This window comes from Homo sapiens, chromosome 10, assembly GCF_000001405.40.
Source record: "Homo sapiens chromosome 10, GRCh38.p14 Primary Assembly".
NCBI lineage: Eukaryota > Metazoa > Chordata > Mammalia > Primates > Hominidae > Homo > Homo sapiens.
In genome coordinates this window covers 99,304,895-99,331,954 of record NC_000010.11, presented here as the reverse complement: position 1 = coordinate 99,331,954, position 27,060 = coordinate 99,304,895, and the positions used below count along the sequence as shown (strand labels likewise).

Here is a 27,060-nt window from a genome sequence, read left to right as displayed (position 1 = left end):
ATAAGCATGACATCAAGCTTGAGTTTGGGGAGGAGAGTTGGAAGATGGTGACTGCGCTGAAGGAAACCCCACTCATTTGGGTATGCAAGTTTTCTAGGATCTCCTCTACCCAGAATATTTCTTCAGGTCCAGATCTATCCTATTTCACAGGACCACAGTTCCCAGACTTACAAGGATCCTACTGCCTTAGTCAACTTTTAACCCCCAACCTGAGTACTTCCCTCCCCCCCGGGCAAAGACAGGGTCTTGCTCTTTTGTACAGTGGTGGGATTACAGCTCATTGCAGCTTTGAACTCCTGGGCTCGAGTAATCCTCCCGCCTCAGCTTCCCAAAGTGCTGGGATTAGAAGCATGAGCCGCCGCGCCCGGCCCTGGACCTGAGTACTTGATATGTGTGCAATCAATACCTGATGGGAAATTAAGTATGGGGAAGAACGTCTAAGGTGTCTGGGTTTAGTCTACATGATTCAAAAGGCAGAAGAGGTAGAAGGATTTGGAGACACAAATTCTGCTCTATATGAGGAAACATTGTCAGCCACTGGAGCTGTCCAGCAATGGAATTAGTTTGCTCTGTAAATAGTGAGCTTTCGGCCCTGGGAGGAGTTTAAAGCAAAGGCTGCTTGTATGGGAACCTGCAGAGGTGTCTCCTGTAATAGGTGGGGAGCTATGCAATGACCTTCAAGGGCTATCTCCCACCTACACAGTATCTGACATTTGGTAGGCCTTGGAAAAACCTGGTAGAATGGAACAAATAAGGAATATGGTGCATCTTGTGAATCAAGTAGAGAGGAAAGAGGCCTGGGGCTCAATCAGGAGCAAGAAGTGAGGCAGAAGTGAGATGAAAATAGCCAGGGAGCCAAGAGGTAGAGTCTTCCTTGGGTTTTTAGTACCATAGGAGAGAAATTGCTTTGGGTACCTAGAGCCTCACGTGGTTAGGAAAGGATAATACCTTTGAAGGGGATAGGAGTTGGGGGAGAAGATAGACTACTGCTCACCCTTCTTAAACTCCTCCAGAACCGTGTCCAGTCGGGTGTCATTGAAAACACAATGCAGGGGCCGGTTGTAGAAGCGGGTGACAGTGAGGAGCGGGGTGCAGTCGTCGGGGTCCACGAAGGCCAAGTCCTTGACAAATAAAATGTCCACAATGTTGTGCCGCTGGTCACCCTCGTACACTGGGATGCGAGTGTAGCCGCTGCGCAGGATCTCGGAGACAGTGGCGAAGTCGAGCACCGCGTCTGAGCGCAGCATGAAGCAGTCTCCCAGGGGGGTCAGCACCTCCTCCACAACTTTGGTGCGCAGCTCCAGGGCACCCTGTATGATGTTGAGCTCCTCCTTCACCAGGTCACTGTAGGGGTCTGCGGCCCGCAACGTCTCCAGCAACTTCTCCCGCGTGTAGAAGGTGCTTATCTCCTGGCGCAGCGCCCAGTCCAGCAGGCGGCCCAGCGGGTAGCACACGGGGAAGGCGGCTGCCATCAGAAGCCGGGTCAGGCACACGCTGTGCGAGGCGATGGCCAGCCCGTGCCGCGAACACACTGAGTAGGGGCAGATTTCGGCGCCCAGGAATACCGCGCCGGTGCACACGAGCGCCGGCAGCCACGGGAAGTGGATCCCCTCTTCGCTGTAGTCTTCCCCGGTGCCCCCGAAGCCCGGCGGCAGCGAGGTGTACAGCCAGCCAGCCAGGGCCGCGTTGGCTCCGGCTTGGCCCAGGAGTAGGGTGCAGAGCAGATGGGTCCCCCTGCCGCGAACGGCCTGCACGCGGCGCGCCTGCTCCTGCTCGGCGGCCGAGCCGCTGTTCCGCAGCACCCGTAACTCCACCGGGTCCAGCGACAGCAGGCTCAGGCGCAGGCCGCTGAACAGGGCCGACAAGGCTAGCAGCAGGAGCGCCCCGAGCGCCCGCAGCCACGCAGGGGGCAGCAGGTCCCCGCCTGGGCCGTACAACCGCGGGCGAACGCGCAGCAGGAAGCCGCCGGCGGCGCCGTGGTGGTGCCACGCGCGCCCATCCCAGGCGCAGAGTGAAAAGAGCTTCCCGCCACCGCCCGCGCCGCCCCGCTCCGCTTCGCCCTTGCGCAGCTCCCGCACTCGCACCTGGACCAGGGCCGAGCCTGCCACGCCCCCGGGACGCAAGGGCCCCAGGACTTCCACGTCCGATGCCCAGTCGCTCTGCTCCCTGCAGCGCTGCGGTCCCGGGGGGCGAGTGGGGACCGCGCTGGGGGCCACGCCGCCACCGCCCGGGGGCTCCTCGATGAACACGAGCCGCGGAGCCCAGTCGCCGGTGCCATTCTCCCCCGAGTTGAGGGTCGGTGAGGGCACCGGTGCGGCGGTGGCCGGCGGTCCTGGCTGGAAATAGACACGCAGGAGGAAGCTGGTGCCTTCGGCGGCGCGCAGGGTGCCCCCCTCCAGGGACACGCGGCCTCCAGCAGTGTCCTCGGGCCGCAGGCCCAGCAGCCAGGCGGCGGCGGCCGGGGGCCGAGGAGACAGGGAAAAGAAGAGCAGGAGCACAGCGCCTCGGCTGCAGCAGTCCCGGAGCCTGACACCCACCGCTGCTGCCGCCGCCGCGGCCGCCGCCATCCTGCACCCAGCGCAGCTGCACGTGATACTGCAGGAAGCCGAGCGAGAGCTGGAGGGAGGAGGAGCCGGAGCTGGGAACCCAGCCGCAGGCAGGTCACCACGTGTACGCCCACTGCGCGCGTGGGCTGGTGGCGGTGGGCATTCAGACTCCACCTGGGCAGGAGGTCCCCGCTGGAGGCTGGAGGTGGCCAGGCATCACCGCACTGTGCGTAGCGGGTACACACTTCGGTATATCTGAGATGCAGCCTGAAAAGTCTGGGTTTGCAGCATGGCCTCCTACTCCAAAAGTAAGGTGCTCCTCTGCGAACTCCTACCCGGCAGTAATTCCCTGCCGGCTCCACTGCTTCCCCATTGGCCCGGGAAATTTCCCAGCTTTTCGCTTCTCCTGCCACTTGCATTCCCCCTTCTGGTCAAAAGAATATTCTGGAGTCAAGTCTTGAATATGTGAAAACTTTTAGCCTCAACTCCAGCCGACCTTTCATTATTGTAAACATTTCTGGATTATTTAAGTTCAATTCTTAGTTAAGATCCGAATGTCCATCAATAAGAAACTGTTGAAATAAGTGAAACCACTGTGCAATGGAATACTATGCGGCAATAAAAAATAATGCGGTGGATCTGTTGTATATGTGATACGGAAAAAAATCTCCAAAGTAATTGTAGAAACAAAGTAAGGTGCAGAACAGCAAGTATAATATGCTACCATTTGTGTTAAAAGTATTTATGTATAAATTTGTACACACACACACACTTATATGAGATTTATTTATTTATTTATTTATTTTGAGATGGAGTCTTGCTCTGTCGCCCAGGGTGGAGTGCAGTGGCACAATTTTGGCTCACTGCAACCTCCACCTCCCGGGTTCAAGCGATTCTCCTACCTCAGCCTCCTGAGTAGCTGGGATTACAGGCGTGCGCCACCGCGCCCAGCTAATTTTTATATTTTTAGTAGAGATGGGGTCTCACCATGTTGGCCAAGCTGGTCTCGAATCCCTGACTTCAAATGATCCATCTGCCTCGGCCTCCCAGGGTGCTGGGATTACAGGCGTGAGCCACCGCGACCCGCCGTTTACATCTTTTAATTAATTTATTTATTTTGAGACGGAGTTTCGCTCTTGTCACCCAGGCTGACGTGCAATGGCGCGATCTCGGCTGACTGCAACCTCCGCTTTCCAGGTTCAAGCGATTCTCCTACCTCAGCCTCCTGAGTAGCTGGGATTACAGGCGCCCGCCATCACGCCCGGCTAATTTTTTTTTTTTTTTTTTTTGGTAGAGACGGGGTTTCACCACGTTGGCCAGGCTGGTCTCGAACTCCTGACCTCAGGTGATCCGCCTGCCTCGGCCTCGCAAAGTGCTGGGATTACAGGCATGAGCCACCGTGCCTGGCGGGTTACATCTTAATTATAGTACAATATCAAAAGCAGGAAGTTGATATTGGTGTAATGTGTGTATATAGTTCTCTATCATTTTATCACATGTATGGATGTATGTGACCATCACTGCACTCAAAATACAGATCTATTATCACCAAGATCTGGGAGGGAGACTTTCTTATTAAATTCCTTATATTGTTTGAATTTACTCGACTATATTATTTTTATGCATTTATTTTTAAACTTTATATAGTAAAATTCACTTTTTGGTGTACTGTTCTATGAATGTTGACAAATGCATATACATGTAAACATCACAATAAAAAGTAATTCCATCACCACCACCCCCCAAATTCTCTTACCGTCCTATTGTATGTAGTCAACCCCTCCCTTCGTCTTATCCTCTGGGAACTACTGATCTGTTCTCCCCTATAGTTTTCTTTTCCGGATTATCATATAAATGGAGAATACAGTCTGTAGCCTTTTGGGTTCTCCCTTCCTTTACTAAGTTAGCATAATGCATTTACGATTCATCTATGTTGTTGTGATTTTCAGTAGTTCATCCTTTTGTATGGCTGAGTAGCATTCCATTATATGGATGTGTCACTGTTTGTTTATCCATTCAATAAAGGATATTTAAGTTATTTCCAGTTTTTAGCAATTATTAATAAAGTGGCTATGAACATTTGTGTGATGGTTTTTGTGAGAACATAAATTTTTATTTCTCTTGGGTAAATTTATCATAAGTCTGTATTACATTTTAAAATATAGTAATCCTAACTACTTGGTAGGCTGAAGTGGGAGGATCTCTTGAGGCCAGGAGTTAGAGACCAGCCGGAACAATGTAGGGAGGCCCTGTCTCTAAAAAATTAAAAATTAAAAAAAATTAGCCAGGCATGGCGACACATGCCTGTAGTTTCATCTACTTGGGAGGCTGCAGCAAGAGGATCACTTGAGCCCAGGAATTCGAAGCTGCAGTGAGCTATAATCGCATCACTGCACTCCAGCCTGGGCAACAGCATGAAACCTTGTCTCTAAAAATAATTAATAAATTAAAAAGGAAGAGTTATTTTACATACCACCCTTGGCACCTGGGTTTAGTGTAAAATCATCCCTATGTGTGAAATCTCATTTTCCGTGGCATTTGTGACATGCCATTGTCTCAGAATACACTAGATCCTGTCCACTATAAGCTGCTTTTTGCATGGGCTACTTAAGAGACAGAAGGGAGGTTTAATCTTATGAGGGAACATTGAGGCATTTATTCGAAGTATAAGGGAAGGAGAGAACTGGGGTCAACCATATGATTGTTTTTCTTCCTTTCTTTCTTTCTTTTTTTTTTTTTATTGAGACGGAGTCATGCTCTGTCACCCAGGCCGGAGTGCAGTGACGCGATCTTGGCTCACTGCAACCTCCACCTCCTGGGTTCAAGCAATCCTCCTGTCTCAGCCTCCCAAGTAGCTGGGATTACAAGAGTGTGCCACCACACCTGGCAAATTTTTGTGTTTTTAGTAGAGATGGGGTTTCACCATGTTGGCCAGGCTGGTCTCAAACTCCTGACTTCAGGTGATCCACCTGCCTCGGCCTCCCAAAGTGCTGGGATTACAGGCGTGAGCCACCCGCCCAGCTGATTGTTTTTCTTAAGTGCAAAAAAGCGCTTACTTCTCTCCTGACACTTAGACTTCTTTCCCTTCCCAACCTAAACTCCTCAGCACAAAGATACCCGCTATCCTAAGGGCTTTCCCAGCTCTTTTAGACCACAGAACATTATCATCATTACAATACCACGTAACATCTTTAACAAGCTTTAAAGTTATGAAGGAATTTCTTATTTATTATTCCATATACACAAGAGCCCTGGGAAGTAGGTATAATTATACCCATTTTACAGATCAGGTTAAATGACTGGTAAAACTTCTTTGGACCCTAGCTTGATGCTTCCTTTATCTGGTAGAGCTGACGGAAATAAAATGTTTAAAAAATATTAGAGCAGGAATTAAAAAACTGAAATTTCTGGTTATAAAGTATTACATGCTTATTAACAAAAATTTTAATGCAGAAGAACATAAATAAAAATACACCATGACCCACCAACTAGAGATAAACACTGTTAACATTTTTTATACTACTTTTTACATTTTCTACATAGATAAGTAATGGAGAAATACATGCACACACACACACACACACGTGCTCTCCATATAGTTACATATTTTATAATTAAATATGTATTATACATAATTCTAGTCAGCTCCTGCTACTTAACACATCAAGGGCTTTTTCCCCAATGTAATAAAAATCATTCATAAATGTCATTTAAATAAATCAAATATATATGTATTACATATGTATTGAGAAAGAGAGAGAACTGTAAGAATGAGCCTATTCCCAATTGCACCAGCTCTATTATTAACAAATGTTAGGCTTGGAAAATCAATCTACTTTTCTGGGCTCATTTCCTCATTCGTGAAATGACAGTTTTAAGCTCCCTACCCTTTCATGAGTCAGTGAGTAAGGGCTAATGTACACTGTGTGAAGATAATCTAGAGAGACTGAGTACTTTTCCTTTTACTGAATAGGAGGTTCTGGAAAAGTACTGGGTTTCCAGAGCTCTGCTGTAACTGAAAGGATTCCTGGGGACAGGTTCAGGCAGTGTGATTCTCCTAAGGAAGAGCTGCCAAAAATAGCTCCCCAGAATCTGAATGTTTACTGTCTTCTTAGCTTACAAGATGGGCACTTCCTCGCTTCTCAGAGAGATGGAGGAAATAATACTTACTTTTAATATCATGACTATACTATTTCAGAATGTACATGTTAAAATGCTTTTGTTTATTTCATTTCTTGTTCATCCATTCCATAAATATTTGTTAATCATCAAAGTGCCAGGCCTTGTGCTAGATATTGGGCATATCTGACACCATCTTTGTCATCTTGGAGCTTAGATTCTCCTGAGGAAGACAGACATAAACCGGAAATTACCTACCTGCCTAATTAATTAATTATTGCCATGAAGGAGCTGTTCAAAGTGCCCTGAGGGTGCATGGGACCCATCATCTAGGGAAGAGGGTCTGGGAACTCTATCCACAAAAATTAGATGTTATAAAAATGGAAGAATTTATACATTAGGAAGAACATAAAATTATTAAATTTTGTATCTTCTATTCCTTTTTTGTACTTTAAAACTATGACAGTATATTAGTAATATTCCTAATAATGTAATCTGTTAGCTTTTTTTTTTTTTTTTTGAGGCAGGGTCTTGCTCCATCGCCCAGGCTGCAGTGCAGTGGCGTGATCTCCACTCACTGCAACCTTTGCCTCTGGGTTCAAGCGATTTTTGTGCCTCAGCTTCCTGAGTAGCTGGGATTACAGAAGCACGCCACCACTCCTGGCTAATTTTTGTATTTTTAGTAGAGATGGGGTTTCGCCATGTTGGCCAGGCTGGTCTCGAACTCCTGACCTCAAGTGATCTGCCCACCTCGGCCTCCCAAAGTGCTAGGTTACAGGCATGAGCCACCGTGCCTGGCCTGTTAGCATTTATTGAGTGTTTGCCATGTGCCAAGTACATTATCCCTCTTAATTCTCACAATAGATGAGAAAATTGAGGCTCAGATTAGGTGACTTTGTGAAAGTCACATGATTAATGGCTAGTGAAGCTCAATGGGACACATAGTTTGAGTCCAAGGTCTACAGTTCCAAAAGTTAGGAAAACGATAATACCAGGTAACCTTTACAAAAGGCCACTATGTTTCATGCATAAATTAACTTATTTAATTCTCATAAGAACCTTTGGAATTAGGTGTTATCATAATTTCCATTTTACATGAGGAGGCTGAGCTACAGAGAAATTAAGTACACTGGTGTCCAAGATTATACAATGAATGGCCAAGGCACTGCCAATACACCACACTATTTTACACAACACTACATTATAGCAATCTGTTGTACTTTTGTTTACACACATCGTTTTACATAGCTGCACTTATAATGTTCCTTTTTTTTTTTTTTTTTGAGACAAGAGTCTCGCTCTGTTGCCTAGGCTGGAGTATAGAGGCACGATCTTGACTCACTGAAACCTCCGCCTCCAGGTTCCAGCAATTCTAGTACCTCAGCCTACCTAGTAGCTGGGATTAAAGGCGTGCACCACCATGCCTGGCTAAATTTTTTTTGTATTTTTAGTAGAGACGGGGTTTCACCATGTTGGTCAGGCTGGTCTCGAACTCCTGTCCTCAAGTGATCCACCTGCCTCAGACTCCCAAAGTGCTGGGATTACAGGTGTGAGCCACTGCGCCTGGCCAGTTGCACTTACAATGTTCTTACCATTGTAGTATTCTTAACTTTTTTTTAACTCCTCATTATAGCATATTTTCCCTCACTAAAACTATAAACATGCTTTTCCTTTTTTCTTCCCTTCTTCCACCCTCAGTTGTTGTTGTTGGTGTGTGTTTGTTAGTTTTATCACAGGCACAGATAATTGAGTTAATCATCTTCCTCAGTTGATGGTTGATGGTACACTAGCATCATTGGCTATAAAAAGCCTCTCTTACCCCATTCTAATCCCCAGTCTCATCCCTTCCCCTTTCAGATAGCCACTCCAATATTGATTGATATATCTTTAAGTATGTATGTATCCTTGTAGAATACTTAGTATTGGTTTGTGTTTTTCTTTTATTGAGATACAATTTACAAACCATAAAATTCATCCTTTTATTTTTCTGTTTTTTAGAGACAGGGTCTCTGGAGTGCAGCACCAGGATCATAGCTCACTGCCCTCTTGACTGCCTGGACTCAAGTGATCCTCTCCAGTAGCTGGGACTACAGGTGCACACCACCATGTCCAGCTAATTGTAATAAAAATAAAAAAAAAAACTTTTGTAGAGATGGAATCTCTCCATGTTACCTAGGCTGGTCTCAAACCCCTGGGCTCAAGTGATCCTTCCACCTTGGCCTCCCAAAATTCTGGGATTACAGGTTTGCGCCACTGTATTCGGCCAAATTGACCCTTTAAAAAGGAAAAATTCAGTGATTTTTTTTTAGAATATTTACACAGTTGTTCAACAATCACCACAATCTAATTCCAGAACATTTTCATCACACCTAAAATAAATCCTGTACCCATTCACAGTTTCTCTCCAATCCCTGCCCCAAGCCTCCAGCAACCACTAATCTACTTTCTGCCTGTGTATGTGTTTTTAATTTTCATAAAATTACTATAGAACTTGTCCTTTTTATTACATTTTCACACAACACTCTGTGTAAAATCTGTTCATGTTGCTGAACGTATAGCTGGTTTGGTGTTCTAAATGCTGCATGGTGTTCCATAGTGGATAGCCAGAATGTTATTTTTATCCATTCCTTTGGAGATGGACATTTAAGTTACTTCCCATTACTACTGATAGAGCCACAGGGGAATCCTTGACCATGATCTTACTGGATCTGTGAGGCAATTCCTTTAGGATGTAGCTGCCATGGGACTGTTGGACCACAGTGTATGCGTTCCCTCAGAATTGCCTCTCCACCAGTAGTGCCTAAGGTTTTCTGTTTTCCTACATCATAGCCTACATTTGGTATTGTTCACTTCCCAATTTGGCTAAGCTAATGGGCATGAAGCGTTATCTCATTCTTTCAGTTTGAATGTCCCTGATTCCTAACAACTTTGTGCCTCTCTTCATATATTTGTTAGCCTGTCAGGTGTGAAATTGGGAGCTAAAGTTTTCAGCTGGCATTTAAGGTACATCTGTTCTCTATTATAGGGCATTCCACATTCAACAGAGCTTCACATATGAAAACATGAACCTATGCTTTACTGTGCTTGAATCTCTGGACCCAACTCAGGCAGAAGCTGAGAGATACAGCTTCCATTCCACAGTGTAGAGTTGGCTGCTTCTACACCTGCCAGTAGAGCAGGTACAAGACCATCTAGACTTGTTAATGCCGACAAGAAATGATTAATTTTGTGTATAGCATTTCTGAGGTAAGCTGTTTCTATCAGTTAATAAGAGAAGCTGCCTAGGCTAGGGAGATTTTTTGTTTTACCAAAAAGGTTAAGAAGTTTTTCTGGAGGGAATGAGTAATCCACAGCTTTTGGGCAGTCAGAAGGTCAATCCCACTTTGGCTACCAGTTTACTCAACACCTGAATCAGGGTGGGGTGTCAGACTAGGTCAACAGAGAGCCAGAAGCAGAGGTGATAAATTCTAGCCAAACCGAAAAAAGATTGAAGACGTTTTCTTTACTGAGAGGAGATGAAAGGATGGAAAGCTGTATATATGTAATTGGCTTTGAGTGTTGTTTGTCAGGATAATCAGGCTCTTAAATGGGTAGGGGGAAAAGGTCTGTCTGATTGAGACAGCCTTTAGCACAGTTAAACATTCATTCTTTTTCTTTATAGAGCAATGGTTCTCAAATTTTATTGTACATAAACATCATATAAATCACCTGGGGAGTTTGTTGTTGTTGTTGTTGTTGTTGTTGTTGGTTCTTTTTTTTTTTTCAGGTTCTAAAAAATATACAGAAAACTGGTAACAGTGGTTGCCTCACTGAAAAGAAACCGGTAGCTAGGAAACAGGGATAGGAGATTTTTTGACCTTTTAAATTTTGTACAATTAACGTACTTATCCCAGTCAAAAATAATTGACATTCCTATCTCCATTTGCATTATGTATGTCTAGAATAGGGCCTAAGAATCTGCATTTTACTAAGCATCCCATGTGATTCCAATAGAGCTGACTGTTGGCTCAGTCTTTGAGAAATAATGATATAAAACAAAGGTTCTTAATCTTTTTGCAGTGTGTGAGATTCTTTTTTGTGTGTGTGAGACAGAGTCTCACCCTGTCCTCCAGGCTGGAGTGCAGTGGCGCCATCTTGGCTCACTGCAACCTCCGCCTTCTGAGTTTAAGTGATTCTCCTGCCTCAGCCTCCTGAGTAGCTGGAATTACAGGTGTGTGCCACCATGCCCAGCTAATTTTTTGTATTTTTAGTAGAGATGGGGTTTCACCATGTTGACCAGGCTGATCTCGAACTCCTGACTTCAAGTGATCCACCTGCCTCGGCCTCCCAAATTTCTGGGATTAGAGGCGTGAGCCACCACACCTGGCCCTCCATGAGATTCTAATGAGAGCTATTGGCCTTTTCCCTAGAAAACTGCATATCTACTCAAGGATACAACAATGTTAATTTATTGTGAATACAATCACAGGGGTGCATGGGAACCCCAGTGTGCCATCGTGTCTGTGATCCCCATGTTAGGGATCCCTGATATAGACATTTTGTTCATGTCAAGGACTGTGTGTGTGTGTGTGTGTGTGTGTGTGTGTGTGTAAGAAAAGAGTAGAGACAAATTCTACTTTTGATGAATGGGCTCCTTCTCCATTTCTAGAACCAATACCTAACTAATAAAGGAACAGAAGATGAGTCCCTCAGCACTTCCCTTCTAGCTACATCCTGTCCACAAACATGTTAATGAAATTTTCAGATGACACTAAAAGAAGACATGTTGCAAACACCAGGAAAGTAAAATAAATTATATAAAACATTAACAATATGGCAGAGGGAATGACACTCAACTTGGAAAAATTTCAAGCAGAAGCATCTGGGGAAAAATAATTGGAAAGAAATTTTTTCATGAGGCGGGCAACACCTGGAAAACAGTAATAGCTGTAAGAGGCCCTAGGGTGATGCTAAATGGCAAATTAGATACATGTCTGCTGTATAATATTGTGAGAAAAATATGACATTGGTCTCTTGTCATAAAGCAGGGAGATAATAGCTCTTTCTGTTTGGCCCTAGTGAGATAGCACCTGGGATGCTGTTTTAAGTTTTGGACACTTCATTAGCAGAAAATTGTTGATTAGCATTTGGGAATTTGGAGGCAAGAAACAAGAACAATTAAAAGCATTTATTTGACATGACTCAACCATTTAAAACCAATGGCACAAAGGGAAAAAGAAATAATACAGCTCTGTACTTAGATTGTGTTGCTGAGAAGTCAAAGGTCTCTTCAACTTCAGCATCGAATCACTGATTATTAGAAGAGGAGGGACTTTGGAGATGAATTTTCATGAACTTTAAGTTCCTGGGCAGTGCTGAAATTTTGTTAGCTGAGCAGGTTGCTTGGGGCAATGCATTTCACAGAGATCTAGAAAGGGTCTTCTTAAAACATAGACCTGATAATATTATTTACCTGCTTAATACCCTTCAGTGTCTTCCCATGACATTGAAAATAAATCCAGCCTCTTAACAGGATACACATGGTTTTGCTGAATCAGGCCTTCACCTAAATGATGGCTTAGCTTCCGCCACTCTCCCCTGAGCTCACCAATCATCAGCCACACTGGCCTCTTGTTGTGAGAACTCTCCAAGCTCTTTCCATCCTTATGATGGTTCTTATGGTCTTCAAATTTGCTGCTTATTTCTCCAGCTCCTTGCATTGTTGATTCCTTCTCATTTTTCCTCTGTCCCTGACCATCTTACCTAAAGTCTCCATCCTCATTCCGTTATTCTCTTTATAAGATTATCATACTCTGCGGTTATCTTTATTTACTTGATTGTTTATTATATTCCCCCTCATTAGGATATAAAGTCCAGGAGAGCAAGGATCTTCCCTGTCTCACTCATTGCTATATTCCCAGTGCCCAGCATACAGTAATAGCCAACACTTATTGAGTTCTTAGAATATTCCTGACTCTGTTCAGTATTTTACATACATCAACTCATTTAACCCTCACAGTAACCCTATGAGACAGGACCATTATCTCTACCTTACAGATAGGGAAAGTGAAGTGAAAAGTGGCTAAGTATAACTTGCCTAAGGTCACACAGCAAGTAAGTGGTTGAGCCAGGATTTGCATCTCAGCAGTATGACTTGCCCAGGGTCTAGAGAACAGGCAATGAATTAATTACTTGGATAGTTATGGATGATTATCTTTTTTCCTATGAGAAATTCTGGTAAATAAGAATTTGCCTCCCTATTTGAGAATGTGTGATCTTGAGTCATTTCTTTTGGGGATAATGAGGAAAAGAGACAGTTTAGGGAGAGGAAAAGGGAAAAAAAAAACAGGAGAGAAAACACGTAAGAACAAGATTTGAGCTTTTTGCGATACAGTCTGGGAGAGGCAAAGGAAGCTAAGAGGAAGTAAAGCAAGGATTTGTTTTCTGGTCTATTAAGAGGCAGGGAATTGGGCTGGTGTAGGAAGAGTTGAGGGCATGTGCCTTGTCATGAACTTATGTATCATGAGCTGAAACAAGACCTATAACCCTGTATTCTGGTTAGAGGATTAAGAAATACCTCTTCAGCTAGGCATAACAGACTAAAGTGTGCCGAAGGCCTTTCTGTATTGAGTACACAAGTGACTCTGTCTCTGTGAACCTGTGGGATCAAGGATAATGGGAGTCAAAGACAACCCTGTGTTACAAAATCAGAAAGACATATTTGGATGGAGGAGCCAATAGGGACATCTTTTTAGTTTGCAGATTATCTGCAACGAAGCAAAACAAATTTCCAATCATCTTGTCAAAACTGGTAAGTTTTTGGCAAGCAAGGGATGATAAATTGAAATTATTTGGACACATTGCTATTATTCACGTAGGTGAATGTTAACATTGACAGCCTTCACTGTTTTATTAGTAAGAGTGAAAACATATCTATAAGGGATTTCATTGGTTCACTCATGGTGGCCTTGGCTTCTTCAAGCCTATTTTTCCTGACTCCCGTCTTGTTTTGTTTTTCTCCTCCGTTCTTTACAAGGCAGAGAGTAATCTTTATACAATATAAATCTAATTATGTTAATCCCCTGCTTAAAACCTTCCAGTGGTGCTCTATTGTTCTTAGGATATATCATATACCCCTTAATATGGCTTCCCAAAGTCCTTCACAAGCTGCCTTTTCCAATCTTTTAAAGATATTTAATTTTATTAACTTGATTTTTTAAATTGACAAATAATAATTGTATATATTCATGAGGTACATAGTGATGTTTTGATACATATACTGTATGGTGATCAGATCAGGGTAATTAGCATATCTATAATCTCAAACATTTATCATTTTTTTGTGTTGGGAAAATTCAGTATCCTCCTTCTAGCTATTTGAAACTATTATTATTGTTAACTATAGTCATCCTACAGTGGTATACAACACTAGAACTTATTCCTCCCATCTAGCTGTCATTTTGTATCCTTTAAAAAAATCTCTCCTCTATGCCTCCCTTCTTGCTTCTCAATAGTGGCAAGTGGGATTTGAACACAGATAGGCTACCTCCAGAACCAATAGTCATAACTACTCCCTGCACTGCCACCATTCAGCCATATTGAGTTTGTTTCAGTTTCTCCAATGAGCCATGCTTTCTCTTGTCTTCTCTTGCTACACGCTGTGGCTTTTGCCTGGAAATTTCTCTGTCCACTTTCCTTGGCTTAGAAAACTCCTCCTTATTTGTATTTTAGGTCTCAGCTTTGAAGTTTCTCTAAGCTTTCCATGATTCCCCAAGTGTGGGTCAAAAGCACCCCCATGTTGCCACAGATTCTTGTTCTTCTCCTGGCATTTATAATATAATTACTATATCCATTATAAAATAATTATATTATTTTACATATAATTATTTTATAATTAATTATAAATGTCAGGAGCACCCCCATGTTCCCACAGATTCTTGTTCTTCTCCTGGCGTTTAGAATATAATGGATAATAGCTTATTTTTATTTAATGGTAAGTAAACTGGCCAGTAATAGCCAGTTTTATTTATTGCCGGGAATTTGGATTCTGTCAAATTCTTGCCAATAAATGATGCATATGATGATTCCAGAGACTGGAATATTTCCAGTATCCACCACACAGTAAGAGCTGGGAATATATTGTTTGTATAAACAAACAGAAGATTTAAAAATCCATAGTAGGGGGTTCTCCCACTCTGGGAGTTTTCAGAAAGTACACGCTAGGTGGCCAGGAGAGGTGGCTCACGCCTGTAATCTCAGCTCTTTGGGAGGCGGAGGCGGGCGGATCACCTGAGGTCAGGTGTTGGAGACCAGCCTGGCCAACATGATGAAACCCTGTCTCTACTAAAAATACAAAAATTAGCCATGCGTGGTGGTCGGCACCTGTAATCCCAGCTACTGGAGCGGATGAAGCAGGAGAATCGCTTGAACCCCGGAGGCGGAGGTTGCAGTGAGCGGAGATGGCGCCACTGCACTCCAGCCTGGGCGGGTAGAGGGATACTCTGTCTCAGAACCACCAGCACCACCACCACCACCCAGGCTGGGTTTGGGAAAGGAATACAGTAGTTACTTTCTTGTTTGGCTCTGAGGGGGCGGGGGAAGATACTCTGGGACAAACGGAATCCGGTGCTGTTTTGCTCCGAGGGCTTCCTAGTCAATGGCCCTTCTCTGCTGGTGAATCAATATTTTGTCTGGGTGGGGCTGAGACTGCGAGGTGAGAGGCTGCCGCCACACAGTCCCCTGCATGAGCGCCAGGCAGGCTGCTCGCCCTCAGCCAGGCCCGCCATCGCGGAGCCTCCTCACAGGCCCGGAACTTTTGCCTTTGAAAGCGCTTCAAGGGTCATGGAAAGTTCGAGAGCTTCCTCATAGGCCATGACTCTGCAGCGACCCTTTAACACGTGTTCCGCCTCTGCCCTGACATTCTGTGGCTTGAATGCCTCAGAACAGCGGACTCGAGTCAACAGAGCCTGCGGAAGAATGGTGGTCTCTGGAGCTGAGCTCCTGAGAGGAAAAGGCGCCCGAGCGCACAAGAGCCCGCCTGAGCCCCCGCGGAATGGCAGCGAGAGCAGCCACCCGAGGCCTGGCGGGAGCCTGTGCCCTCCCAGGGGCAGACCGCGGAGGGTCCAAGAAAAGCGATGATTGATGACAGGGGTGAGAAGGCTCTACTTCCAAACAAGAGGGAGCCAGAGAAGATTATTTTCAGCGCCCCCGGGTGGGTGGACAGAAGAGGCTGATGACAGCGCGGAGCCGCCGGCACCCAACAGTGGGCTGAGGGACCCAGGGTTGAGGAACCGGGAGCTGAGGGACCTGGAGATGAGGAAGCCGGAGCTGTGGGACTTGGAGCTGAGGGTCCGAGAGCAGCAGGTGGCGGCTGAGAAGAGAGGTGAGCATCCCCCTCTTTGAGGACTCCTAGAGGGACTAATGGGGAGGGACTATCCCAAGAAAATATGGACTCCCTGTTAATTAAGGGCACAAGATTTGGAACGTGTCTGTGAAGATGCTGTTTGGGGAAGAGGGCTGAAAATCCTGGTTGTATTGGGACTTGCAGTTCTGCAGCCGGGTGACCCTGTTTATGGAACTGAGGAAGAGATTAGTGGGTAGGACTCAACTGAAGAACCTAGTTGTTATAAAATGTTGATATAAAATCGCCATAGAAATAACCACATCGCTGGCTGTGAATCTGCAAGCTTTTTGTGTAGCCCGAGCCCAGAGATTGAGATAGATTTCCTTCTTGCCTGTCTTCATTCCATTCCTTCTACCTGTCCGTCTCCTCCTTTCCTCGCTTCGCTTTTCACCTCTCCCCTGACTGCTTCGCTTCACCATCACTCCCTTCTTCCTTCCATTGTTAAACTAGGAGTTCTTAACCCTAGAATTCTGGTCGTCTGTGAACGACGGTGGAAAGAAAAGAACATCTTTGTTTTGTCTAATATCTGAGTAAATGTTAGCATCTTCTTCAATTATGAAAACAATCACAAAGCACAGTAATATTAGCAGTACCTGTGACTGTCACCAATAGAAATCACAGGAGTGTTAACAGTACCCGTACTCTTGTCACCATGGAAATCATGGAACTGTCATGCACCTTGTGGTATGTAGAAATATTTTTGCTCACGGCTGTGAAATTATGGGGTATTTGACCTGCTGCCTGATCTTTTACTTAATGCATTAACATTAAAGCATATTTAATACTATGTCCCTAGTTTTAAAAAATATCTTGATAACTATACTTAAATAAAATTAGTGTTCTTTGTGTACTTCTCATCCATTCCTACTCTTGCTAAGGTGCATGGAAGGAAAATTGGTGCTGGTCCTGAAGTGATTGACTCAAATCTTGGAGCAACAAATCTTTTTCAGTTTAGGTGGTTTCTTTCTTTCAACCAAATTGAAGAAAGACCTAATGTAGCTATTAACCAATAGATAATTAAACGTAATTTTAAATCATAGATCACCATGGGATGTTTGGTATGTAACTCTGAGGAGATCAAAAAATTTTGTGACATTGCCATTAAAGAAATGGTCACTTTTCCTATCTACTTATTTATGTAAGCAAGCTTTCTCAGAGCTTATATTTAAAAATAAAATAAAAAGGATTTATTTTGTACATTGACTAATACTATTATAAGTGCACAGATTTGTAAAATAAAATCCACATTAATCTCATTAAGAGATACAGCCATACCTCGGGGATACCGCGGGTTTTGTTCCAGACTAACACATTGCAGTAAGTCAAAGTTTTTGGTTTCCCAGTGCATATGAAAGTTATGTTTACACTATATTGTAGTCTATTAAGTGTGTAATAGCATTGTGTCTTAAAAAAACAGTGGACATACCTTAATTTAAAAATATTTAGGCCAGGCTCAGTGGCTTATGCCTTTAATCCCAGCACTTTGGGAGGCTGAGGTGGGAGGATCGCTTGAGTTCACGAGTTCAAGACCAGCCTGGGCAATATGGCGAAACCCTGTCTCTACAAAAAATACAAAAATCAGCCGGGCATGGTGGCCTGCACCTATAGTCCCAACTACCTGGGAAGCTGAGGTGGGAGAATGGCTTGAGGTCAGGAGGCGGAGGTTGCAGTGACCTGAGATGGTGGCACTGCATTCCAGCCTGGGCTGCAGAGACAAACCTTGTGTCAAAAAACCAAAACCAAAAACTTTATTGCTGAAAAATGCTAAAGCTCATCTGAGCCTTCAGTAAGTCATAATCTTTTTGCTGGTGGAGAGTCTTGCCTTGATGTTGGTGTTTGCTGACTGACGGGGTGGTGGCTGCTGAAGGTTGGGGTGGCTGTGAACATTTCTTAAAATGAGATAACAATAAAGTTTGCTTCTATTCACTTAAAAGATTTCTCTGTAGCACGTGATGCTATTTGATAGCATCTTACCTACAATAGAACACCTTTAAAAATTGGAGTCAATCAGCTGGGCGCGGTGACTCATGCCTGTAATCCAGCACTTTGGGAGGTCGAGGCCGGCAGATTATGAGGTCAAGAGATCGAGACCATCCTGGCCAACGTGGTGAAACCCTGTCTCTACTAAAAATAAAAAAAAAATAGCTGGGCATGCTGGTCGTCACCTGTAGTCCCAGCTACTCAGGAGGCTGAGGCAGGAGAATCACTTGAACCCGGGAGATGGAGGTTGCAGTGAGCTGAGATTGCACCACTGTATTCCGGCCTGGCGACAGAGTGAGACTCCGTCTCAAAAAAAAAAAAAAAAAAAAAAAAAATTGGAGTCAGTCATCTCAAACCCTGCTGCTGCTTTATAACTAAGTTTATGGAATATTCTAAATCTGTTGTTTTCATTTCAATAATATTCACAGCATCTTTACCAGGAGTAGATTTCATCTCAAGAAATAGCTTTCTTTGCTTATCCATTAGAAGCAACTCTTTATCCATTCAAATTTTATCCTGAGATTGCAGCACTTCTCTCACATCTTCAGTCTTCACTTCTAATTCCAGTTCTCTTGCTATTCCCACCACATATGCAGTGATGGGAACCTCCACTGAATTTTGGAACCCCTCAGAGTCATCCATGAGCATTGAAATCAGCTTCTAAATTCCTGTTTATGTGGATATGTAGTCCTCCCATGATTCACAAATGCTCTTAATGGCATCTTGTATTAGTCTGCTCTTGCATTGCTAGAAAGCAATACCTCAGGCTGGGTAATTTATAAAGAAACGAGGTTTACCAGATTTAAAGCCTGCACAGTTTTGCAGGCTTTACAGGAAGCACGATACTGGCATCTGCTCAGCTTCTGGGGAGGTCTCAGGAAGCTTACAATCATGGCAGAAGGTGAAGAGGGAACAGGATTGCCACATGATGGCATAAACGACTAGATCTCATGAGAATTCACTGACTATCATGAGAACAGCACCAAGGAGATGGTGCTGAGCCATTCATGAGAAGCCCATCTCCATTATCCAGTGACCTCCCACCTGGCCATACCTACAGTATTAGGGATTGCAATTCAACATGAGGTTTACATCTATAATAATGAATCTTTTGCAGAAGGTTTCCAATTGACTTTGCCCAGACCTGCCAGAGGAATTGCAGTCATAGCCTTATGAAATGTATTTCTTAAATCATAAGACTGAAAATTAGAAATTATTTCTTCATCCATAGGCTACAGAATGGATGACGTGTTGGCACATGTGAAAACAACATTAATTTCCTTGTACATCTGCATCAGAGCTCTTGGGTAACCAGGTACATTGTCAATGAGCAGTAATGTTATGAAAGGAATCTTTTTTTCTGAGCAGTAGTTCTCAACGATGGGTTTAAAATATTCAGTAAAGTTTGCTGTAAACAGATGTGTTGTCATCCAGGCTTTGTGACAACAAAATGGAATATTATTTATACAACACAGGCAAAGTAGATTTAACGTTCTTAAGGGCCCTAGGATTTTTGGAATGGTAAATGAGTGCTGGCTTTAGCCTAAAGTCGCCGGCTGTATTAACCCTTAACAAGAGAGTCAGCCTATCTTTTGAAGCTTCAAGGCCAGGTGTTGACATCTCTCTAGCTATGGAAGTCCTAGGTGACATCTGGTTCCAAGAGAAGGCTGTTTTGTCTACACTGAAAATCTGTCGATTAGTGTAGCCACCTTCATCAGTTATTTTAGCTTGATCTTCTGGATAACTGGCTGAGGCTTCTACATCCAGCACTTACTGCTTCATCTTGTAATTTTATGTTATGGAGATGGCTTTTTTTCTTAAACCTCGTGAACCACACTTTACTAGTCCCAACTTTTCCTGGGCAACTTCCTCACCTCTCTCAGCCTTCATAGAATTGAGGGGAGCTAGGGCCTTGCTCTGGATTAGGCTTTGGCTTAAGGGAATGTTATGACTGGGTTGATCTTCTATCTAGACCACTAAAACTTTCTCCATATCAGCAATAAGGCTATTTCAGTTTCTTATCATTTGTGTGTTCACTGGAGTAGCACTTTTAATTTCCTTCAATAACTTTTTCTTTGTATTGATAGCTTGGCTAACTTTGGCACAAGATGCCTAGCTTTCGGCCTATCTCAGCTTTTGACATACCTTCCTCACTAAGCTTAATTATTTCTAGCTTTTGATTCAAAGTGAAAGATGTGTTGCTCTTCCTTTCATTTGAACACTTAGAGGCCGTTGTAGGGTTATTATTAGGACTAATTTCAATATGGTTATTAATAGGACTAATTTCAATCAGGGAATAGGAGGTCTGAGATGAGGGAAAAGATGGGGGAATGGGCCAGTCAGAGGCGCAGTCAGAACACACACAACATTTATTGGTTAAGTTTGTCATCTTACATAGGCATGGCACCCCTAAACAACTACAATAGTGATACCAGAGATTACTGATTACAGATCACCATAACAAACATAATAATCATAATGAAAAAGCTTGAAATATTAACAAGAATTACAAAAAAGTGACATAGAAACATGAAGTGAGCACATGTTGTTGGAAAAATGGCATTAATGCAGGATTGCCACAAACCTTCAGTTTTGTAAGAAACACAGTGTCTGCAAAGTGCAATAAAGTGAAGCACAATAAAATGAGGTATGCCTACACATTGCCAATAAAATTTTTATGTTCAGTATCTATATACATTTTATGATGTTTATGTTATTTTGCTCAATTGGGTACTAATAGTAATTGTCATGACAATATGACTCAGAAGACTTTTTTATTTTTTAAATACTCAAAGCCTTATGGTCAAAAAAGTTAAAATATTAAGTTTATCATACTTTTTTGTATCAGAGAATTATGATAGGATGATTGATAGATCTCCAAATATAAAAGTATAATACACTCAGATTAAATGCAGTAGGGAAAGTGGAATGAAAAATTATGTTATAGGAGAAATAAAAATGATATGAATTTCTGAAGATCTCATTATTCTGTTTTTAAAATGGATGATGGGTGGCTCATGCCTGTAATCCCAGCACTTTGGGAGGCCGAGGCAGACAGATCACTTGAGGTCAGGAGTTTGAGACCAGCCTGGCCAACAAGGCATAACCTCATCGCTACTAAAAATACAAAAAAATTAGCTGGGCGTGGTGGCTCGTGCTTGTAGTTCCAGCTACTCGGGAGGCTGAGGTGGGAGAATTGCTTGAACCCCAGAGGCAGAGGTTGCAGTGAGTCGAGATCACACCACTGCACTCCAGCCTGAGCGACAGAGCGGGACCCTGTCTCAAAAACAAAAATAAAATGGATGATGCTGGGTGGGTATTAAATCATTCCAATATTTACATTCCACTGGGTAGATCTGAAGGGGTGATATAACAATTTTCTTTAAAAATATCTTTAAAAATTATGCTAAAATTCACTGTATATCCTTTCTAACTATTTACACTTTACAATGAAAAATTTTAGATGTTAATTAATGATGAGCAAAGAACACTGTAGGTTTTTCTTTTCTTTGAAGTATAACATGCACACAGGAAAAACTAATCAATTACAAGGTTACAACTCAATATGTTTTTATATATTTTAGTGGCTCTATATGCCCTGGAGTGGAATTGTTGGATAGGCTGATAATGGCTCCCAAAGATATGTCTATGTCCTCATACCAGGAGGCTGTAAATGTTACCTTATTTAGAAAAAAGATCTTTGCAGATGTAATTAAATTAAGGATTCTGAGATGAGGACATAATCCTGGATTTTCCAGGTGGGCCCTAAATGCTATCATAAGCGTTCTTATAAGAAGGAGCTGGTAGGAAGTTAGAAATACGCAGAGCAGAAGGCAATGTGAAGATGGAGTGATATAGCCACAAACTAAGAATGCTGGCAGCCACCAGAAACTGGAAGAGATAAAGAATTTTCCCCTAGGGCTTTTGGAGGGAGTGTGGTCCACTTGATACTTTGGTTTCAGACTTCTGGCTTCCCAAACTGTAAGAGAATAAATTGTGTTGTTTTAAGCCACTAAGGCTGTGGTAATTTGTTACAGCAGCCACAGGAAACTAATACACAAAATATATAGCATATACAAATGTTGAGTTACAGTAGATACTGCCATATAGTTTTCCAGAATGGTTGCACCAATTTATAGCCCCAGTAGCAGTGTATCAGAGTTCTGGTTGCTTCACATCAAGGGTGGTGGGCCAGATATTAATAAGCTATATAATAGATATTTTAGGCTTTGCAGGCCATATGGACTTGTGGCAGATACTCAGTTCTGTCTTTGTAGAATGGAAGCCATAGACAGTACATAAATGAATGAGCATGGCTGTGTTCAATAAAACTTCATTTAGAAAAGTAGGTGGTGCATAATCGTTTGCTGACCCTGCTCTGTGTCTTTATGAACTCTTAGAATTTTCTGTCCTTTTCATTTTAGCCATCTGGTTGGTGTGTAGTAGTATCTCATTATGGTTTTACTTCACATAACCCTGATGACAAATGAAGTTGAGTACCTTTTCACAAATTGACTGTTTAGTTGTACTCTTTTGTGAAGTGCCTGTTCAAATGTTTTGCTCATTTTTAAATAGTTTGAGATATATTCCACATAATATAAAACTAATCCTCTTAATGTATACAATTCACTGGTTATTAGTATATTTGCAGAGTTGTGGAACCATTATGACTACCTAATTTCACAGCATTTTCATCACCTGCCCCCCAAAAACCCACTTATACCCATTAACAGTTACTCTCCATTCTTTCTACACCCAGCCCCTGGCAACTACACATCTACTTTCTGTTTCTATGGATTTTCTAATTCAGGACATTTCATATAGATGGAGTCATACAATGTGTGGTCTTTTGTATCTGGCCTCTTTCACTTAACCCTTTTCTTGTTTAGAAAAAAAAAATACAGCTCTCTGCCAGCACTCATTTAATTTTACATAAACATACTCTTTGAGGCTGAAGCAAATCTGCCTGTTTCTCAATGTGAAAATAAAATACAAGAACTGTTCTTGGAGTTATTTCTAAACCGAACTAACATCAGCATCATCTGACTCATCAGAATCGCCTATTTTGGAAAAATTAGATTCATCAAATGAATCTTTGGCCAACAATTGTTCAAGAATGATGTTATCATCCCACGTAGGAATGCTGTGTTTTCTAGGATTTGACATTTTCAGTGATCAAGAATTACTGTATTTTGTAAATGGAAATGCCACTACTAAAAACAGAATTCTATGAATAGAATGATATATTTTGTCTCCAAAGTTGATATACTAAAGTGATGCAAAAATAATAATAAAAGTGAGATATTCTGTGGCAAAGTTATCTCTGGGTAACCCTTGCAGCCACAGGTGCTGCTGGCAAGTATTCCTGGGGCAAACAGAAAAAGGGTTAACGAATTTCGTATAATGTTTTCAAAGTTCTTTCATGTTGTAACATGCATCAGTACTTCTTTTCATGGCCAAATAATATTCCATTGTATGGATATGCCACAGTTTGCTTATTTCATTGGTTGATGGAGATTTTGATGGTTTCCTTTTTTTTTTTTTTTTTGAGACAGAGTCTTGCTCTGTCGGCCAGGCTGGAATGCAGAGGCACAATCTCGGCTCACTGCAACCTCCACCTCAAGCAGTTCTCCTGCCTCAGCCTCCCAAGTAGCTGGGATTTCAGGCGTGTGCCACCACACCCGGGTAATTTTTGTATTTTTAGTAGAGACAGGATTTCACCATGTTGGCCAGGCTAATCTTGAACTCCTGATCTCAGGGAATCTGCCTGCCTCGGCCTCCCAAAATGCTGGGATTACAGGCATGAGCCACCGCACCTGGCCGATTGTTTCCATTTTCTTGCTATTTTGAATAATGTTGCTTTGAACATTCATGTATAAGTTTTTGAATGGACATATGTTTTTAACTCTCTTGTGTGTATACATAGGAGTAGAATTGCTAGGACATATGATAACTTTAACATTTTGAGGAACTGCCAAAGTGGTTTCCAAAACAGATCTTATTTAGATCAAATTGTGAACCTCTGTTTCAGGTTTTTGTTTCTTCCCACTGTAGCCATTTGTGTGTGTGTGTGTGTGTGTGTGTGTGTGTGTGTGCGCATTTACTAGGTATAATTCAAGGGGACTCTTCTTTATTATGCTCATATTTATCATTTTTGCATTCAGAGATTCTCAAATTCATATAATCAGGGTCAAGGGCATACCCCATGGTAATGGTTGTTAAGGATTTAAGGATCCTGGGTTTAACATGAGCCTGAATTAACTCCTTGGCTGTGCCATGGGGGTGCCATAGATATTTTCCTCTATAACCATAAGGATCAGAATCTTCTTTTTTTGGAGCAGAGGCCTAGCCAGCAGAAGCAGAAGCAGAAGTGTTTAAGGCATAGGGTGTTGTTGAGCCATATGTTCCTGGAGGAGTGGACTTCAGCACGCCACTTGGTGTCTACTTCTCCTCCACATGAGTGATGGGCCATGTATCACACAGTGTATTGGTCTTCTCTCTGAGTGTTCTATAAAACAGGGGCTACCATCTGATTGAGGTGCACAATCAATAGTCACAGGGTAAGAGTCATTCCCCTAAGTCTAGTGTTATAGCTTATGCTGGAATTGAGACATACGATTTAATATAAAACACACAGATAAATCCTGGTCGAGACATATGACCCAGGGCCATTTTAAGGAGGGATCCACTCCAATACTCCTGTTTCTAAGTGCCAGCTATTGAAACTTCCAATGTAGGTCTGTTAAATTTCAAACAGGAGTCAGTAAATGGAGCACAAAGCAGCACAGCTCCAACTGCAAACTCTCCAGCAGGCAGCAGCATAGCTCAAAGAGTTCACTTGCCAGCAGGCAGCAACTTAAAGTATATTCTTACTAGCAATCAGCAAAGCCAGTTAGCAGGCTAAAACAAGTAAAGAAAGGCCAGGCATGGTGGCTCACACCTGTAATCCCAGCACTTTGGGAGGCTGAGGCGGGCGGATCACCTGAGGTCGGGCGTTCGAGACCAGCCTGACCAACAGGGAGAAACCCCGTCTCTACTAAAAATACAAAATTAGCTGGGCATGGTGCCGCATGCCTGTAATCCCAGCTACTCGGGAAGGCTGAGGCAGGAGAATCACTTGAACCTGGGAGGTGGAGGTTGCAGTGAGCCGAGATCGCGCCATTGTACTCCAGCCTGGGCAACAAGAGCGAAACTCTGTCTTAAAAACAAAAAACAAACAAACAAAAAAACAAGTGAAGAAAGATCCCCATGGCGATGATCATTGTCTCAACATCTTGCTCACAGTACCAGTTGTCTTATGGTTGCCCTGTGGAGGTCAGGATCAACACACTCCACCCAACATTTCATTCATATGTTGGGACTAATGATGCCACACATACACCAAGAGGGCATAAAAAGATATATTATTCACATAATGAGGTTTTTTTGGGGGGTAACAGGGCAGGTTGCAAAGCAGACCCCCAAAATGGCTTGAGAGAGCAAGGAGGAGAGACTGGCTTTAGCTTTTATTGTGGATAGAGGGTGGAGCTGGAGTAAGTGCACATTGGCCAGGGCTTACGTGGTTTGAACTTCTTGCCAGTGCCAAAGGAGAGAGCATGCAGGCTGTCTTATTGGCTTGTCCAGATATGGGTCAAGAGGGTAAAATGGAGGAGGAGGGCTTGAAAGCTGCCAAAAAATGGAATCAAACAATTACAGTGGATCTTTCATCACTTTTAGAAAATCCTCCAACATATCTCCTCAAATACTGCTGGTGTTCCATTTCCTCTCTGCTCTTCTGGAATTCTAAATACATGTATATTAGATATTTTGCCCATGTCCCATAAGTCTCTAGCACTGTTTTCCCTCTCTGTCTGTGTCTTCTTCATTTTTTTTCTTCTCTCTTCCTTTGTTCTCTCCTACTCCCCAGCAGTCTGGTGTGTGTGTGTGTGTGTGTGTGTGTGTGTGTGTGCGCGCGCGCGCGCGCGCGTGTGTGTGAGTTTGGATATTTTCTATTGATTTCTTTTGAGTTTACTATCCTGTCTTCTGTTAGGTCAATCTATTTTTACACACATCCATTGAGTTATTAATGTCAGATATTTAGTTTGAGTCAGAATGTCCATTTGATTCTTTCTATAAATTCCATTTCTCTGTTGAAATTTTGTATCTTTTCATTTCTACTGTCTGTCTTTTCCTTTATTTGAATATATATTCATATATATAAGTCATAGGTATTTTAAAGTCCTGGTCTGCTAACTCCAATATCTGTATGACCTATGGGTCTGCTTTTATTGGTTATCAGCCATGTAAGATGTATTATGTTAAAATAATAACACCCCAACTCTCAAGGCTTCAGAAGATGGTTTCTTCCACCAGAGGTGATTTACCCATCAACCCTTCCTTCCTTTGTTTTTTCCTTCCTTCCTTTTAAACACTTATTTTTAAAATTAAGATTCACCCTTTCCTAGTCTAAGAAAATAGAATGGGGATCTGAACACCTTAATCCAGTTTATGCACTTATTTAGGTCAAGTCTGGTTTGCAATTTTGGTCAGACTAGTCCACTTTTGTTTCCCTGTTCCTAGGAAGTGGTACTTCATGGCTTTTCATTGAGAGCCTGGGGTCCTTTGTTTAGAACCAAGGCTCTGTGGAAATTTTCACTCCACTTTACAGAGGTTTTGGATTAGCTCTTTAGCCTTCCACCCCATGAAGCTTCAAAATATCACAGATTTATTGGGACTAGAGAGGCTGCTGGTTTAAAGTCTGTCAAGTCTCCAATTTTGGTACAACTGTACAACTGCCAAAACTCCACCAGTTTCTCTATTTTTCAGAAGCAGCCTTCTGACAAGTGTGGATTCTCAGCCTCTAGCTGTGCCCATATTGGCAAATGTGACAGCAGATGTTAGTATTAATCTCCAGGGCTTTCACCTGCCATGGCTGTATTCAAGGCTCTTTTCCCTAACCAGTCTTTGTTTCCTAAATAGTAAGTATTCATAGACTCTAGAAAATTCCATTCTGCTTTTCTAAAGTTTTGACTCATCTTAAAAATTCAGAAAATA

At 42.8% G+C, this 27,060-nt stretch overlaps 2 protein-coding genes across 8 annotated transcripts in view; one reads left to right on the top strand and one right to left on the bottom strand.

Annotated features, from left to right (window-relative positions):
* Window positions 1–2,599, bottom strand: part of CNNM1 (cyclin and CBS domain divalent metal cation transport mediator 1) — a 64,975-nt gene extending 62,376 nt beyond the window's left edge. For all 7 annotated transcript variants that reach the window (NR_144311.2, NM_001345887.2, NM_001345889.2 and 4 more), the window contains exon 1: window positions 995–2,599. Coding sequence is in view for 6 of the 7 variants with exons in the window: in NM_001345887.2 (NP_001332816.1) it covers window positions 995–2,567 (1,573 nt within the window). In the remaining variant the exon portion in view is untranslated. The remainder of the gene's footprint in view (window positions 1–994) is intronic.
* HPSE2 (heparanase 2 (inactive)) overlaps window positions 16,004–27,060 on the top strand; it is an 858,875-nt gene continuing 847,818 nt past the window's right edge. Inside the window, exon 1 of the mRNA XM_047425614.1 lies at window positions 16,004–16,026. The gene's annotated coding sequence lies outside the window, so the exon portion shown is untranslated. The remainder of the gene's footprint in view (window positions 16,027–27,060) is intronic.